Source organism: Homo sapiens, chromosome 4, assembly GCF_000001405.40.
Source record: "Homo sapiens chromosome 4, GRCh38.p14 Primary Assembly".
In the NCBI taxonomy this organism is placed as follows: Eukaryota; Metazoa; Chordata; class Mammalia; order Primates; family Hominidae; genus Homo; species Homo sapiens.
The window spans coordinates 110,099,646-110,118,562 of record NC_000004.12 but is presented as its reverse complement, the minus strand read 5'-3'; the positions used below and the strand labels follow the sequence as shown (position 1 = coordinate 110,118,562).

Genomic DNA, 18,917 nt, shown 5'->3' with positions numbered 1-18,917 from the left:
TGGATAAACCTGGAAGATATTATCCTAAGCCAGGCATAAAAAGAAATGTTATTGTGTGATTTCATTTATATGTGAAATCTAAAAAAGTTGAAAATGTAGAAACAGAGTAGAATAGTGGTAACATTGTCCCATACTGGGTGAAGTTAATATTGGTTATCATGGAATTATCTATAAAAGTGGTTAATAAAGAGATGACTGCAGTAACTAAAATTCTACTTCAAGAAGAATTTGAATTCTGTGTGGAGTTAGGGGGGTGGTGTCTTGGCAGTTACCATGAAGTCTGGTTCTATTCATTTAAGATCACTGGCCAGGCGCAGTGGCTCACACCTGTAATCCCAGCACTTTGGGAGGCCGAGGCGGGTGGATCACTTGAGGTCAGGAGTTTGAGATCAGCCTGGCCAAAATGGTGAAAACCTGTGTCCACCAAAAATACAAAACTAGCCGGGCATGGTGGTGTGTTCCTGTAGTCCCTGCTACTTGGGAGGCTGAGGCAGGAGAATCACTTGAACCCAGGAGGCGGAGGTTGCAGTGAGCCGAGATCTCACCACTGCACTCCAGCCTGGGCGATAGAGTGAGAGTTTGTCTCAAAAAGAAAAAAAAAAAAAAAAGATTATTCCTTTTTCTCCTCTCTGGGGAGATATATATATATATATATATATTTTTTTTTTTTTTTTTTTTTTTGAGACAGAGTCTCACTCTGTTGCCCAGGCTGGAGCGCAGTGGTGCAATCTCGGCTCACTGTAAGCTCCGCCTCCCGGGTTCACGCCATTCTCCTGCCTCAGCCTCCCAAGTAGCTGGGACTACAGGCGCCCGCCACCACGCCCGGCTAATTTTTTTATTTTTAGTAGAGATGGGGTTTCACCTTGTTAGCCAGGATGTTCTCGATCTCCTGACCTCGTGATCCACCCATTTTAAATGCAGTTCTAGATGACCTTCATTCAGGAGAGGCACTGAAGCAGATGAATAATTGTAAGAATTCAATCTACCAGCCTTCAGGATGCAGCTGGACATGGCCCATCGTAGTCAGAAGTGAACCTAATTCTAGAACAGTGAAGAGAGTAATATACTGACTCACTGGTTGTTATTTTGTTTTCCCTTTTAAATCGAACTGCTCACTTGAAACAAGAAGCTTGCTTTATTTACTCTGTGCTTGAAATCAATTTGAAGCAATTCAGCCTGAGTGTGTCTGAGGCATAAGTGGTATCACCCCAATCAGTGAACGTACTTTTGAAGCAGTTTTGCCTACACCCTCTTGAGTTTTCCAATTTCTCTTTTCTTAATTTCTGTCTCCATATTTCTCTTGTTCAGGATCCTCAACCTTAGCACTATTGGCATTTTTGGGGGCTGGATAATTTTTGGTTGCAGAGGGCTGTCTTGTGGCATCCAGGGCCTCTACACACCACCTGCCAGTAGCCAACTGCCTTCCAGTTGTAAAGACCAAAAATGTCTTAAGATATTTCAAAATATCCTCTGAAGGGCAAAATCATCACCCTCTGTGAGAACCCATGGTGGAGGCCAAAAGAGAAGAGGTCCACAGATTGAATTCTGGGGATCCTCAGTTTGTGGATTGAGGAGATGAAGGGAAAGCAGCAAAGGAAAATGAAAAAAGAACAGATGGTGAAGTTGGAGAAGAAGCAAGAGAAAACAGAAAGGAAGGAAGTGAAGGAAGCATTGCAGGAAAGAAGGAGTTGCCATCTGTGTCAAATGCTGCTGCTAGCAGGCCATCTGGGTGGAAGACTGATACTTGACCATTGCTGCATAGAAACCTATCTTTATAGACATAAGCCCAAAAAGAGAGGAAGGATAAAACAACTGCATTGCCACAAACAGGAAAACATACTTAAAGTAGCCTGTAGTACGTATTTTAAGATTGGGATTAAGAGAATGGTTACAAACCAAGTAACCTTTGTTGTTGCAAAGGAGTGTTGAGAGATGGCAATTTAGGACTGTGGACAGTCAGAATAAATCGAATACATATTAGTAATTTTAGTAAATTGTATATTATACTAGAAATTCTGAACATAGGTACCTGGTTCATTGTAAAGGATACAGTAAGTCATGTGCTACTAAGAGTTCAGATGCTGATATTTGTGAGTCACATGTTAATGAGTTGCTTAAAGACAATCTCCATAAGAGTGTTGCTCTCGCCCTTTGGATTCTAAAATGCTTTCTTGAGTAGAGGGGAAGAACCTGGCTTTGGGGATGGCAAACCAGGAATAGACATGAAACATGTGCATCTGTAGGGGTCTCCTATGTGTTTTAGTAGAAGAATGGCTTTAGATCTTACGATTTAGTTTAATCCACATGGTAAACAGAATAACAGTCCCTCAAAAATGTGCCCATCTTCTGTGAATATGTTACTTTATATAGCAAAGGACATGTTGCGGATGCAATTAGGTTGAGGAATTTGAGATGGTGAGATTATTCCAGAATATCTTTGGGCAGGGGACATCTAATCACATGGGTTGTTAAAATGGAAGCCTCTAGGCTGTGGCCCTGGATTATCTGGTGGGCCCATTATATTCACAGGGTTCTTAACAGGGAGTTGGGGGGATCAGAGTCAGATAAGGTGACGTGACCATGGAAACAGCTTGGTGTGATGCATTTTGAAGATGGAGAAGGAGGCAGCCATGAGCCAAGGAATGTCAAGTGGACTCTAGATGTTGGAAAAGGCAAGGAAATGGATTCTGCCATAGAGCCTTCAGAAGAAATGCAACCCTGGTGACTCTTTGATTTTAGCCCCGTAAGACTCATTTCAGATTCTAACTTCCAGAACTGTAAGATAATACATTTGTTTTGTTAGAAGCCATTCAGTTTGTGAGAATTTGTTGTAGCTGTCCCCATTATCGGAGTTCTCAAAGCTATTGTCTGCAAACTTTATCCTCTTATGTCACTGAATGAGAGTTCAGATTTTGAAGGAGCAGTATGAAAGCCCCAGTCAAAATGTTGCCATATTATTATTATTTCTGGAAGTTTTTTTTTGTAGAGACAGGTTCTCACCATATTACCCAGGCTGGCCTTGGATTCCTGGCCTTAAGCCGTCTTCCCACCTTGGCCTCCCGAAATGCTGGGATTACAGGCATGAGCCATCATGCTTGGCCCTATATTATTATTTTTAAGAACAAGATGAAATTCAGAGTTCTTTCTTGGGTAATCGGGTGATAATCTCATAAGTAAAAACAATGTTTAAGTCATTTTCACTCATTACTAAAAATATATTTCTTCTGATTACTGCCAGTTTTTTCTCAAGCTTAATTTCTTATGTACATTTGATTTTGCTGACAAAATCAATTTATAAACTAACCATGAGATCATCGTCACTGCTGAGATATTTTCTCTAATCCAGAAATAGTATTTGGGGTATATTTTCTCATTGCTTCCCCAGTTTCTTTTCAAAATTTATATTGAGGGAATCATTAGTGACAGGAGTATATTTATTTATCCAATAGTTAACGTGAAAACATGCCATGTTTTCCCCTTCATTTTATTTTCTAGCTTTTGGAATTTTCAGCTGTCTATGAGGTGATTTGGGGAAATGAAAACCCTATATAAATATTAAGGTAGTGGTAACCTACAACAGAAATGGATTCTCCTTTGATATAAATGTCAGTCCTTGAGTACAGAGAAAGTGCTCATAAACATGGATATGTTTATGCTTGTTTATATAATTGTGCAAGCTGTTATTTTTCTTGGTTTTGATTTAAATCTAGGAAAATTTTCAGTTTGAATTGGACTTAATCTTATAAACCTGAAATCCGGTTTTCAATGCATTGTGAATAATTGTCTCCTTTTGACAGTGTTTTTTCACTTCTAGTTTTAGCCTCCAGCTCTGATAGGTCTATTAGTTATAAGACGTCCTAGGCTTCTTTAGGATAAAGACAATCAGGAAACAGGTTTTTATATTCAACTCTAAGTGTAGCCTGTTAGTTTGAAAGGGTGTTGGTCATCCATAGGGGAAGGATGAGTGGCTTCAGCATTTGGGTCAGTTTTTAAAGAAGCCCAGCTGTACCATATGATCAGGAACTAATGACCTCCAAGTTCCAGTCATTATTTCTACATTTAGTAGAAATTAGAGGACCATCAGCCAGGAAGTTTTTAGCCAGGAATTCCTAAGCTGAAAAGTTTAGACTAGATGTCTAAGGTCTGTTCCAATCTTGAGATTCTATATGTCTAGGGTCATTAGGCCACTGGACTGGAAAAGAAGATCTAAAAAAAAGAAAAAAAAATGCCTACAGCTTTGACTGACATAGCCCATAATTGTATTTGTGTAACTTCAAGCCCAATAAAATTTTATATTTAGGAAAATAGATGACTAATGCTTCATTTATATTATAGAATAGATTTTTAAGGCTATAGGAGATAAAGTTTAGCTTGGTGACAGGAGAGTCACTCAACTACTCTTATTTAATAGGAGGCATTTCAGAATTATAGTACAGTTTTTATATTACCATTATTGTTACACTTTTTTTCGTTTTCAAGGGATGGAGTCTTGTTATGTTGCTCAGGCTGGATTCGATGTCTCGAGCTCAAGGGCTTCTCCCACCTCAGCCTCCTGAGTAGCTGGGACTACAGGTGCATGCCATCATGCCTGGCTCATCATTATTATATTTTGAAATAATTTAACAAGTGAGCATTGCCTCATTGGAAATTAATATGCTACCTTTCTCGTAGAATGAAGAGTATTTCTTCAAGAAAATTAGTGCAATGAAATTGAATTGCTGCTGGAACCACCTTCTGAATTCTATTTCTACATGCTGCCTCTCTTATTCAGAAATTACTGTTTTAAATGGCCACAAGAGTTTTGTTTTACTATCACTAGATCGTTACCTGGAAATTCTCACCTGCAACAATCAATACTCTCAAACAAAACAGAAACTAGAAATTATTTTTTCATCATAGAGATCATTTTTAGTTTGTTTTCAGATGGGCATGGGAGATTTGTCTAAATAAGACCAATGACTTTTTGTTTTGTTTTTGGCTTTTTTAAAGACAGGGTCTCACTCTGTCGCCCAGGCTGGAGTGCATGGGGCAATCATGCTCACTGCAGCCGCAACCTCCTAGGCTCAGTCCTCCCACCCTAGTTTCTCAAGTAGCTAGGACTACAGGCATGCACCACTACAGCAGACTAATTTTTAATTTTTTTGTAGAGATGGAGGGGGTCTCAGTATGTTGACCAGGCTGGTCTCGAACTCCTGGGACAAGTAATATTCCCGCCTTGCCCTCCCAAAGCATTGGGATTACAGGCATGAGCCACCATGCCCAGTCACTGATATGTTTTCTGCCAGGTTTTGACTTGGGGGTGATGGCAAGCTTTCCTCTTTTTTTTTTTTTTTTTGAGACGGAGTCTTGCTTTGTCGCCCAGGCTGGAGTGCAGTGGCACAATCCTGGCTCGCTGCAGCCTATGCCTCCCAGGTTCACGCCATTCTCCTGCCTCAGCCTCCTCAGTAGCTGGGATTACAGGCGCCTGCCACCACGCCTGGCTAATTTTTTTTGTATTTTTTTAGTAGAGACGGGGTTTCACCGTGTTAGCCAGGATGGTCTCCATCCCCTGACCTCGTGATCTGCCTGCCTCAGCCTCCCGAAGTGCTGGGATTACAGGCGTGAGCCACTGTGCCCTGCCGGCAAGCTTTACTCTAAGGAGATAAAAAATTGAATGGATTTTAATTCTTTTGTTTTTATTTTCGTTTCTGAGATGGAGTCTTGCTCTGTTGCCCAGGCTGGAATGCAATGGTGTGATCTTGGCTCACTGCAACCTCTGCCTCCCAGGTTCAAGAGATTCTCCTGCCTTAGGCTCCTGAATAGCTGGGATTACAAGCATGTACCACCACACCCAGCTAAGTTTTTGTTTTTTTAGTAGAGAGGGGGTTTCACCATGTTGTCCAGGCTGGTCTTGAACTCCTGATCTCAAGTGATCCACCCCCCTCAGCCTCCCGAAGTGTTGGGATTACAGGCATGAGCCACCACACTCAGCCCGGATTTTAATTCTTTGTTTGATTTTGCTAACTAGAGCAGCAAGGACAGTCTACAGTCTTTGGTTCTAACTTCAAAACTGATTTTTTCTGATCAGTTTTATTAAGCCATATCTACTGAAACAAAAAGTATTCTTGTACCTCTCTAAGATGCAACGCTTTAGGATTGAAACTGACAATTCTCTGAGCTGCAAACATCAACTCTACTGAAATAATGCTGTGATTAGCCTAGCGGTTTGCTATCTTTTACTATGAACAGGAGAATATTCATTCCTAAAGGTGATCCCATCTGATGATTCCTGTGAAGAGCCGCAGTTCACACACACACTTCAGTGCATTGATCGAGAGATCAGGAATTCAACTTTTGCCACATCTGCCCTCAGGGATAGAAATAATGCATACCAAGTTTCTCTGTGAACATCTTTTTAAATTCTGTCTTCCTTCCCAGCTCAGACTTTCAGTACCCTTCATGACTTCATCCAGCAGTTCTCTATCCATTTTTCTGGGGGCACAAGTTATTACTTCCCCATCTCTCACCCATGGGACATGATGGGGTATGTGTGATTTAGTCTATTGTTTATTTAAGAAGAAAAAGAAGAAAAGAAAATTAAGCCATACATTTCAGTCCTGTACTTTAATTAGTAGTAACAAATTACTGGGCACATGCCTCACAACTTACTGCAAACTTGAGGTGCAGATACAGCCTGAACTCTGCTGCAGTTTTCAGAATGTCACACAACCCAACTTTAGCCCGCATCTCCAAACAGGCTTTCTACCATACCCAACCCACAGCATCTGGTATGACAGACTCCCGGTTTAGCTCACACCTAACTCCATTGCCTATTGCTACTTGCCCTTTGCCCATCCATCCAAAACCTTCAGGGTCCACTCTTAAATCTTCCACAGCATTTTCTCATGACAATAGTCTCCTTCCTTAGCTCTTTATAAAACATTATCTGTAACACACATTTGCTACTGACCCCCTATATAACCATGTGTTACCATGTAAATTTTTCTTTCTAGCTAGATTAGCAGAGGCAGAATTTACTCTCACATAAGGATCCTTTTTTCATTCAATGTCTTACTAACCATACTGCAAAGGAATACAATGAGTTTATTAAATTTCTTGGCCATGGCTTAAACCTAACAGAAGAAAAAAAAAAACTGAAAGGTTTATTGAATTTTGAATGGATGGGTGGATGTCAACATTTTCATCAGCTACTGAAAAAAAAAAAGGAATTCTAAGGAAACAAAGGGAATTGATAACCTGCCGATTTAAGTATTAAAGAGTCTTTTTAGATGTGCAGTTTTTTCGTTTTAACATTTTGAGAGTATTTTCTCCCCCAAAATCTTATGTCCAGTTGTAATACAAAAACGGAATGCACCAAGATTTTTTAAAAGGTGACAAGGGGGGAAAAAGATAAGTTTACAGATGTATACAAGGAATTTCTGTGTCCAATCTGCTTCTAAGAGGGGTATACTTTCCTGGAAAGGGATGTGCAGCCATGTTATTGAATCTCATGGACTAAATGTAACTCTACTTTGCTTATGGCCTACTTCAAGGATAGAAAAACTAAAAACTAGTTCTCACACCTTTTTTAAAAAAATAGATGAGGAGAACCTGTGATCTCTAAATTAGTATCTGGAGGGGGAAGCAAAAAGGTAAAGTGCTTACAACTCAAAGAAGCTTGGAAATCACACCTTAGTTGGTATCCTTGGTCATACACAACAGCTTGGAATAAGAATAAGGAACCTTTACCTTAGTTATGGCTTTGTCTTGCAATTGTAAAGCCACTTTTCATTTGTATCAATTACGGGCATATTTTCATGATTATTCACAAAATTGTTTGTCAGAATTTCTGGGCATATGGTTAATTTACTTACGAATAAAACCTCCTGGCCAGGTGTGGTGGCTTACATCTGTAATCCCAGCACTTTGGGAGGCTGAGGCAGGAGGATTGCTTCAGTCCAGGAGTTGGGGACCAGTCTGGCCAGCATACTGGGATCCCATTTCTGCAAAAAAATTAAAAGAATCAGGCGCACCTGTAGTGCCAGCTACCCAGGAGGCTGAAGTGGGAAGATCGCTTGAGCCCTGGAGGCTGAGGCTGCAGTGAGCCATGATCACACCACTACGCTCCAGCCTAGATGACAGAATGAGACCTTGGCTCAAAAAAAAAAAAAAAAAAAAAAAATCTGCGGAAAAATTTCCATTTTTTTTAACGTAAAAAAAATGCCTATATGAAGTCTTGCAGAATCCTTAAGAATGTGGCAGAATTAAGCCCTGGATAGGACTTCAAGAAACCTCAGGATCCCTCTCAAGAAAATCTTATTTTCTTATCAAATTATAACCACCATAGACATACATTAAATGTCATATTGGCAAAAAGTAGTGTTATTTCCTCTAGTCTCTGGGTCCCTACTTTATTTGTATCCCTAAAATCACTTTCAGAACCATAAGTTGTTTCCTGACTTGAGTCAGCAACTGAACTGCAAGAGGACTCTTAAAAGAGGAGGGGGGTGCACCAGTTGGCATTCTGTCTCAGCGTCAGACTCTTCACCTTAGAACATGAAAACTTTCTCTGCACTAGGTAGATAGGTATCAGCTGAACTGGGCGGTGCCCTTTTCATTTTTTCCCCTCACTGCTTTTTACTTTCCCATCTCCTTGTACCTCACATGTGTACAGTAGCCATAATGAAGGCCATGTAGATACGACATGAAAGAGCCAGGAGGGAGCTCAGGCCAGCTTCCCAAGCTATTCATTAGCAATTATCCTATGTTGAAATACTACCCACATAAACATTTCTTCATTAGCAAATAAACTAGTTTGACTCTTGGGGTATAGAAATCTTGACGTGAATGCTAACGAGACTCAAGCTAAGCACTGGTTTCAGTGAAATCCCACGAGTTTAAAAAAACATGTATTTCAATTTATGCATACTTTTTCAGAAATGTTAATGGGTAAAGCAAGAAATACCAATCATAAGTGAGAACTTGCTCAGCTACTCTGGTAAGAATCAAAAAAGCATGTCCTAGGAATGCTTTGGAACAAGATAGTATGATAGAGAAATTCAGATTTCTAAGGATAGATCCACTATTCATTTTTATTAATTATGGAATAATTTCCATTGTTCATCTTGATGACAGAAATAGAAGGGTAAAAAGGATAAATATAAGCTTGACAGAATTAAAGCACATCAGTATTTCATTTGGGTTGTCTTTATTTGGTTGGTCACCTGGTAATCATAACTCCTGAATCACCACACTGAAAAGTACTTATTAAGTACCTATAATTATGGGTTGTGCTATATGATGCACATTTAAAATTTATTAAACAAGAAGAGTCCATGCTATCTCAAAATGACTGATTATCTAATAATAAAACAGTATAGTGTTACCATTATACCCAAGTATGGAGGCCTGCCAGTATACAAAGTATTACCACAGAACCATTAGGAAAGCAATCTATCCACATTAAAAACTAAGTGGGCTAGTGGCAAACCATTATTCATCTTGAATATAATTGAACTTTACCGGAGAGATGCCAGAAAGGAAAGGCAATTTTAATTCATTTAAATTGTCCTGTTCATTAAAGAAAATCTTACCTTCTTCTAAGCAATATGGAAAACAAATAGTACATTCAACCATAAATGACAACTCAGTTAAAGAGGTAATTATTAATGCTTAGGCAACTTCCACTTATAGCAGATGCTTAGGTTTAATTCCAAACTAACCCCAAGGATTTGAATTTCACTACAGTAAAAGATTTCTGTGCATGCAATGAAAAACTTACTTTGATCACAGCACTCAAACCGATTCCCATTAACTACCTGTGACCCTGATATAGCTTATACAATTATTTTGTGTTTACCTACCTGCTTGACCACAGCCATGACAATGTTGGATAGTCTTGACCAGTGTAGCATGAAGCTGTGTGACTGTGAGTGACTATTGTCATCGGTTCCCTATTCTCTTTTCTGTCGAAGGAGGAAATTGGGCTCCACCTCTAAGGTTCCTTGCTTGCAATTATCAAGTTCTATGATTCTGTACTGACTGACTTCATTGCCTTAGCTGTTGAATTGCTTTGTAAAGAGAGCTCTTGTGGAAAAGTGAATGGCCCTTGCTGGGAAGTGAGCAGTGCATTAGGATTAATTCTCATTTTAGAAGTTAGGAAATTGGAGAAAAAATACATAGGGAAGATTTTTTGTTCTTTTCTTGGTTCTTGAGGCATTACTTTTCCCTTTATGGCTAGAATGATAGGATTGTATGAAGATATTCATTTAACTTGGTTTATGATTGCAAGTAATACAGTTAATACAACCATAATCAGAATCTCAATTATGTTGAATGGGTAAGATAAATAATGGTAATTTTAAGGAAATGTCTTCCATGGTATATGTATAATTAATTTCTGTTCTCAAAGAAGCAAAGAGGGTTTGGATGAAAGCTTCCCAGGCTCAGAAAATATGACAGTAGAAACATGAAGATGGGAAATTCTTCTTCATCTTTTCACAGTTACACAATGTTCTACACATTATGCAATGATTATGTAATTCAACAGGACAGCTTAAGGAATTTTTACAGCTTATAAGATAACACTTCAAGTACCCCTTTTTCTTCTGAAAGTTTACCACAAGAACAGGAAAATCTAGGGCTACTTTACCTCTAAGCCTGTTTATTTATGAAATAAAGATAATACTTTACCTGCACCATGAGGATTAAATGGTAAAGCTTTTTGGCATTATGTCTACCCATAGGAATCACTCTATAAATCATAATGTGATTATTGTCACTTATTACCTTTATAAATTAGAAAAAAAGTATATACTTTTTCAGATTACTATCACCTACATTAACTTGGTAGAACTTTATTTTTCTTTAGTCTTTGCTTATATGTGCATAAACAGAAACAGTGATTGTGACTCTTAAGTAATTTAATTCCATGCCCTTGTAATTTCCAGAGGAGAAATAAAGCAATATATAATTTATGGCCAAAAGTACTTTCTTCCTGAAATGTCCAATAGTTAAAGTTTCCACAAAATTGTTTCACTGAAGTATAGAAATAATCAATGTCTTTCTGGGGGAAGAAAATGTATCATAATATTTTTCTGAATATTTGACTCTTTAGTTATTAATGTATTACGGGGAAAGTACAACTTTCTGTTAGTGTTTGCTGCCTGTTTACTGTACACAGATGCCTGATTATTTTCCCCATCAGAAAATTTGATAGGACAAGACCACGTTCATTCAACAGATATTTATTAAGCACCTACTGTGTTCCAGGTCTTGTGGGCCCAAGAGAAGAGTCTGTAAACCTCAGTGAAAGTGATTTATTCAACATTTACTTATGGGTTGATTTCTGGAATCATTGCTTTATTTGGTGGTATTCACTAAGTAGGTCACTTGCATTCATTTACATAGGAAAGCTGCTTGTGTAAATAGCAAGGTCCCTTATGAGTCAGCATTACATGTCAGCATAAAGGGAGAAAACACGAAGCATTTTACAAATAATACTCTTTAGGTGAACACATTTTGCTTTTGATATTATGTTTTGTAACTTATTTCTCAACCCTTTCCTTATTGATCTAATTGAATAGGGAAGACCCATTTTAAGAGAAACATTGCTTTCTCAGGAAACATGCTCAACTGTTTTAAATTATTTATAAGGTTTCTGTTGCTTTCAGTCGAATCATAGTTCTATTATAGAAGTTTGTGGATTTTTGCTTTTGAATTTATCTTTTGGCATTATCAGTACTGTTGTCAGAGGCATTTGTACCAGAGTGACTTTATCTTGAATAGGGGCTAAGTAAAATGAGGCTGAGACCTACTGGGCTGCATTCCCAGGAGGTAAGGAATTCTTAGTCACAGGATGACATAGGAGGTTGGCACAAGATACGGGTCACAAAGACCCTGCTGATAAAACAGGATATAGTTAAGAAGCTGGCCAAAACCCACCCAAACCAAGATGGTAACACAAGTGACCTCTGATCATCCTCACTGCTTATTATATGCTAATTATAATGCATTAGCATGCTAAAAGACACTCCCACCAACACCATGACAGTTCACAAATGCCATGGTACAGTATACAGTCTAAAAAGGGAAGGAACCCTCAGTTCTGTTCCTGGGGAAATCCCCGCCCCTTTCCCCGGAGCACTCATGAATAATCTACCCCTCGTTTAGCATGTAATTAAAAAACCCATAAAAGTAGCCAGCCAGCAGTCCTCAGGGCTGCCTATGGAATAACCATTCTTTTATTCTTTTGCCTTTTGAGATGGAGTCTCAAAAATCTCAGCTCATTGCAACCTCTGCCTTCTGGTTTCAAGCAATTCTGCCTCAGCCTCCCAAGTAGCTAAGATTACAGGTGCCCACCACCATGCCTGGCTAAATTTTGTATTTTTAACAGAGAGGGAGTTTTACCATGTTGGCCAGTCTGGTCTCAAACTCCTGGCCTAAAGTGATCCACCCACCTCTGCCTCCCAAAGTGCTGGGATAACAGGTGTGAGCCACCACACCCACCCAAGATAAAATTTTAAATGGCTATCTTGTTCCAAGACACAACCTTGTCACCAAATAGTTCCAATAAAAACACTTCTTTTTAAAATTCATGTATGTATCTAAATTGGCTCAACAAACTCTAAAGAATAAAATTATTTCTCTCAGTGAAAAGACTACTTTTTGTACTTCAATGCTATGTTGTTGAAATTTCAGTCCTAGAGCCTACAAAGGAAATATATCTATCCTGACATGATACTTAATATGTTGGTTAAACTACTGGAAGACCTGATTTGTCAAGGGAGATTTCAACAGAACACTAGTTTGCCGTGTAGACTAGACTCCCTCTTCAGTGAAGCAGGAATATTCTCAAGAATATTTTTTCAGTGCTTACAAAGAGGAGAACTGGTACAAAATTTGGTGTTTCCTAATGACTAAAAATATCTTAAAGATTTTGTTTGCTTGTTTGCAGGAAGAAATCTTTCCTGTTTTCTGCTCTGTATGCTGCCTTTATATTCGGTGGTCGGCACCTAATGAATAAACGAGCAAAGTTTGAACTGAGGAAGCCATTAGTGCTCTGGTCTCTGACCCTTGCAGTCTTCAGGTAGGTTTTTTTCATTTTTCTAATAAAACGTATCCATTTTATCACTTGCTGAAAGAATGCAATGATTGAGCATTTGATTTTAAATCTGATATTTTTGATTATTGAATATGATGAGGACATAAAATAAAGTCATGTTCAGAAAGAAAGCCTTCACTGCCACCATTTGCCATGATGTATTCAACCTTATATATTTTGAGAGGTGTCAGGCCATCTCTTGTCCTGTCCAAATTGGTCATGCAGTAATCTGATTGATCTGTTAGGATGAGAAGCAGTACAGCAATTCATTATTGTTATTGGCTAAATATAGATGAAAGGTTAAATGGGAAGGCACACAAGTAACCTGTTGAAGTCTATTGGAGAACAGGGTTCAAATACCCTGGGTGTGCTGTTCCTAACACTTAATCAAAAGATGACACTTAGACATAGACCAGACACTGGACATCTGTGTCAGTATTGCTAGACCAGAGAATGCTTTTGCTCTGCATCTTCAAAAGCACCCTCCACCCTCATTCCCCGAACTGACTTGCAGACATGTGTTTATGTAGCCAGCTCTGGCTTTGTAAATGTGAAAGAACTCAACACAGAGACTGTCAGGACAAGGCCTGTTCTCTCAGGGCATCTGTCAGCTGGTGTGCAGACTCATTCCTCCAGAAGCTTTCAGGAGCATTTCCAGTCTTGTATTATTTTGTGATCTAGGCAATCACAAGACTAATTAGCACCCAGCTGGTGTCCAAGCAAGTGCCAGGATTTACCTAGAGTGCTAACAAAGGCACCTGTTCTATTTGTGTTTTGCTTGTCAAAACCAGCAAGTTCATAACTAGGCTTGGGGAGGAACGGGAGCGGAGTAAATGTAGATATACTATGAAACACAAAACTATTAATTTTCATATTTATAAATATTCATTTGTATTTTTTCATATATTAACTGTTCTAAGCAGAAATGGATGTTATCATTAAAGCTTCATTAGTTACTTAAAGCTTATTAAAAATGACTGAGGAAGAGTATTTCCATTAAACTCTTATGATCTGTGTTTTTCCATAATGTTGGATCCCTCCATCTAAAACACCCACTTACTCACCACTACTGAATATACTTTTTATTTCAGTGCAATTTCTAAAGCCCTAGGTTTGAAGTACTCATGATTTGGATCTGTCACTAAAATCTCCTTCCAGTTCAATCTGTATCAGATCATGATTCTCTATAATATAAAGAAGGCTTTTCATTTTTATTTACATTTAAGGTTGACAGAGTATGCCTCACCTGAAGTATTTTGATATTTGTGGGGAATTTATCTCTATCCTAATGAAGCCTTTCACCATTTTACTGATTTTTCAATATTCCCTGCACCTTTATCTTTTGTTATTTTAAATTTTAACACTTGTAAGCGGAGAAAAAAAGTACAATGACTCCCCTGCAACCCCTACCTTGGTTAAACAATTGTCAACACTTGGCTGATTTTACTTCGTTTAATCTTGCTCACCTTGTTTCTCATCCCCAAATTATTTGGAACTATTAATAATAGAGGCTGAAATAATTCTTATTGAAATCATACCATGGCTAAAGGTTAAGTACTCTTTAAAAGCAAACACAGTATTATGATCTCACCTAAATTAATAATTTGTTCTTATTAAATTTCAAATTTCTTCAGTTGTCTCATAAATGATTCCTGTTTTACAGTTTAAGAACCTAGATCAAAATGAGATCTTTACACTTCCATTAACTGATATCTTTTGGCTTATAGATTTCCTCTTTTTCCTTATGATTCATCCTTTGAAGAAACCAGATAGTTTACCCCATAGAGCTTCCTCTGGCCTGGATTTTGCTTGATTGCATTTTTCTGTACCTTCTATTTCTTATAAGTTGTAGTTAGATCTAGAAGGTTTATTACATTCAGGTGTAATATTTGAAGAGGCTTTCTATAAGAAGAAACTTGCCTTTATCAACTATTCGGTTATCTTGAAGTATATACAGTTATTATAGCAAAGATTAGGATAAATGCTTGATTCTTTGTCTATATTCATCAGGTTTTTTTTTTAAGTTAGTTAGCATGTAAACAATAAGATTTGTTTTCTTAAGAATCATTATAAACTTATGGATATGTACTTTTTCATATGCCAGTGATTTTGAGATATGATTTTGATGTGTTTTAAGTCCATTGCTATTCCTTTTGATGGTGATAGTTTGATTTTTTTTTCTTTAATTACAAGATACCAGGCCAGGCATGTTGTATATTTCTTGTCCAGAACTGGAATCAGCCATTTCTCCAAAGAGCCTGTATTAGTTCGTTTTCATGCTGCTGATAAAAGACATACCCGAAACTGGGAAGAAAAAGAGGTTTAATTGGACTTACAGTTCCACATGGCTGGGGAACCTCAGAATCATGGCGGGAGGTATAAGGCACTTCTTACATGGTAGAGGCAAGAGAAAAATGAGGAAGAAGCAAAAGTGGAAACCCCTGATAAGCCCATCAGATCTCATAAGACTTATTCACTATCATGAGAATAGCACGGGAAAGACCAGCCCCTATGATTCGATTACCGCCCCTCCCCACCCCCTACCCGCCCCCCGTCCCCCATCCCTCCCACAACACGTGGGAATTCTGGGAGATACAATTCAAGTTGAGATTTTGGTGGGGACCCAGCTGAACCATATCAGAGCCCTAATTCCTATGGTGGAGAGAAGATAATATTTAGAAACCACTGTCTGGGTACTAAAGGTGGTTGTTGGTGCTGAGTAAGTTCTTATATTTAAGTCTTTAAAAAAGCCAGAAGTGGAAATTTACTTATTGAGGTAAAATATACATATATAATCTATCATCTTTACTTTTTTTTTTTTGGAGACAAGATTTCACTCTGTCACCCAGGCTGGAATGCAGTGGCACAATCACGGCTCCCTACAGCCTCAACCTCTCCAGCCTCAAGTGATCCTACTAACTTAGCCTCCCATGTAGCTGGGACTATGGGCATGTACCACCACGGCCAGCTAGTTTCTATATTTGTTTTGGTAGAGATGGAGTTTCACTATGTTGCCCTAGCTAGTCACAAACAATCTTTACCATTCTTATGACTTAACTTTTATTTCTCCTTCCTCTCGGGTCAAAAATCCAAATTCCCAGTGTTGGCCAGTAACTCCCCATTTACTTTATCCTGCAATGCACATGCAGAAGTCAGTGGTGATACTTTATCTTTTTTAGACTGACAAATTATTGTGTTCTCTTTCATTTAAAATTCTGTTATTTTACTTTCTTCAGAGCCATGTTTTGTATAAAATTTAAAAATCCAGAACTATATAGAAAAATCCAAGCATCTGCAGTCTAAGGTTTTAAAAAGTGGATCTTAATTTTTTTAAGCCAGAATTTGGGAAACATTGATAATGGAATGCTATGCTTCTGTGTTTGGAAGAACATATTGAGATTTCTCTATGCTTAAAGAATGCTAGTCAACAATGCATGGAAGTAAAAAGGCTAACTACACAATGATACTTTTAATATAAAAATATTTATAGAGATACTAGAAGAAAATAAACTCAATTTTTTACTTTTTGGGGGGCAAAAGCAGAGAAGATGTCTTATTTATTAAATTCCTATGATTTATTAGAAAATAAGACCAGCCTGGGCAACATGACAAAACCCCATCTCTACAAAAAGTACAAAAATTAGCCAGGCATGGTGTCACGCACCTGTAGTCCCAGCTACCTGGGAGGCTGAGGTGGGAGGGTCACCTGAGCCAGGGGAGGCTGAGGCTGCATTGAGCCATTTTAGCACCACTGCACTCAAACCTGGGTAGCAGAGTGAGACCCTGTCTCAAAAAATAAATGAACGAATGAATAAATGGATAAATAAAAAATTTCAGCATTTGTACAGGTTGGTTGGTGTGGACTGGCAATTTAGAAGAAAAAAAATTTGTGATGTGTTATTCAGAACAAATGAAGCAAATATAATCATGTGGACAACTCTCAATTTTGCATATTGGCCATTTATTATTGTTTGTGTTTTTCTGCATTTAACACATTTCCTAAAATATACGTACACATGTTCATATCTAATCTCCTACACAATTCTGTAGAATTTCAAGTGAGTAGTTGCTTTTTTTTTTTGAAATCCAAATATTTCATGAATGAAGTTGATATAAAACATTCATCAAAAATATGCTCTTCTGGCCAGGCGTGGTGGCTCACACCTGTAATCCCAGCACTTTGGGAGGCTGAGGTGGGCAGATCACCTGAGGTCAGGAGTCCGAGACTAGCCTGGCCAACGTGGTGAAACTCTGTCTCTACTAAAATTACAAAAATTAGCCAGGCATGGTGGCACATGCCTGTAATCCTAGCTACTCGGGAGGCTGAGGCAGGATAATCGTTTGAACCCTGGAGGTGGAGGTTGCAGTGAGCTGAGATTGTGCCACTGCACTCCAGCCTGGACTACAGAGCAAGACTGTCTCAAAAACAAACAAACAAACAAAAAACTGCTTTTCACAAACAGTTGTTTTAATGAGTATTAAGAAATTTTCTATTTTGGTCATAAATGAAAACTTCATTATTATAAAGGATATATTTTTGTAGAAAGTTTTGAGTGGCTCTTACACTATAATTCATGCATTTTCAACTATTGTCTAATGACAAAAATATAGAAATTCTTTGCTCAGGAGATAGTTCCTCTATTAGATGGTCTGCAATGAGGTGATGGCCCAAGGGCCTATCGCCCACTCCATCTCCCCGTCCTTTGCCACCATAGCGTAATCAATTTAGAAAATGAAGGAAAGAGAAAGAACCAAACATTTCAGAAGAAGTAAATTTTTCTTTTGGAAAATCACCAAAAAGAGGAATTTTTGTGTATTTCACTGCTTAGGAATAATTTCTTTTCCCTCAAGTCCTCAAGGTTGCCTGTTAGCTCTTAACTGTAGCCAGGGACCCAGTTATGCTTAATTTCCAGATGCCATACACTGTTCACTCATGAACTGAGACAACATTATGGGAATTAAATCATATCTGCAGCATACTTAAAAAAAAACAAACAAAAGAAACCTCTTCAAACCAGTCTATTTCAAAAAGTGATGGGGTTTTAATATTGTTTGCAAGAATTGCCTGCAGTTTTTCTCTTTATTTTTGGGGGCTGACTGAAGCAGCCTTCATGGAGACAGAAGTCTTCATTCAGGTGGTAATTTATTGAAACCTATCATAAGCTTTGCTAGAGTAAACAAAATATGGCCAGTTGAGTTTTCCTTAGGCCTATAATGGATCATTTCATTTGAGGAAGATTTCTCTGGGTTTCCCTGAAAATCTCTCCCCACGATTCCTCCAGGCTCCCTTTTTCAGAACCAAATCACCAGGTCCTGGTGTCAATTAATCTTTATAAATATGGCCAGTATGATGGCATAGTGACCAACTTCCACCTACATCCCACCTAACCCAAGGACAGGCATTTCTGTATTTGATAAGATAATTTTATGTGGCATTTATCCATGGGTGTTTGAACATTTCCTTAGGGTAAATGCTGAGAACAATTCTGGTTATGTGAATCAGTAAGACTTTTAGATGAGATTGCTCCTGGTGGCAAAGAAGTTAGATTTGGCTAAGTTATCCAACTTTGATATGGCAACAGAGCATCAGATACTTCAAGGTGCCTATCCCCTGTTCTTCACAGACACTCCTGAGTCATTCAATCATGTTGCTATGACATGTCAGCTGGGTTACTACAGTTGATTTGAAAAAGTTTTCCATCCTTCTAGATTGGGTCCAGGTGTGTGTGCTTCTGATTCAAGGAGCCTCTACCAGTTACCTGTCTGGCAGTGTTTTCTTTTCATCAGCAGCATAAGGAGTTCCAAGAAGCCATCTTTGAGGTTCTTGACCTAACAC

General features: G+C 38.4%; 1 protein-coding gene and 1 pseudogene across 4 annotated transcripts in view; one reads left to right on the top strand and one right to left on the bottom strand.

The window, feature by feature from the left end:
* Positions 1–18,917, top strand: part of ELOVL6 (ELOVL fatty acid elongase 6) — a 153,357-nt gene that overhangs the window by 80,640 nt on the left and 53,800 nt on the right. For all 4 annotated transcript variants that reach the window (XM_011532233.4, XM_011532234.4, NM_001130721.2 and 1 more), the window contains one exon: positions 12,935–13,066. In XM_011532233.4, the coding sequence (XP_011530535.1) occupies positions 12,935–13,066 (132 nt within the window). The remainder of the gene's footprint in view (positions 1–12,934; positions 13,067–18,917) is intronic.
* Positions 493–827, bottom strand: RN7SL275P (RNA, 7SL, cytoplasmic 275, pseudogene; annotated as a pseudogene).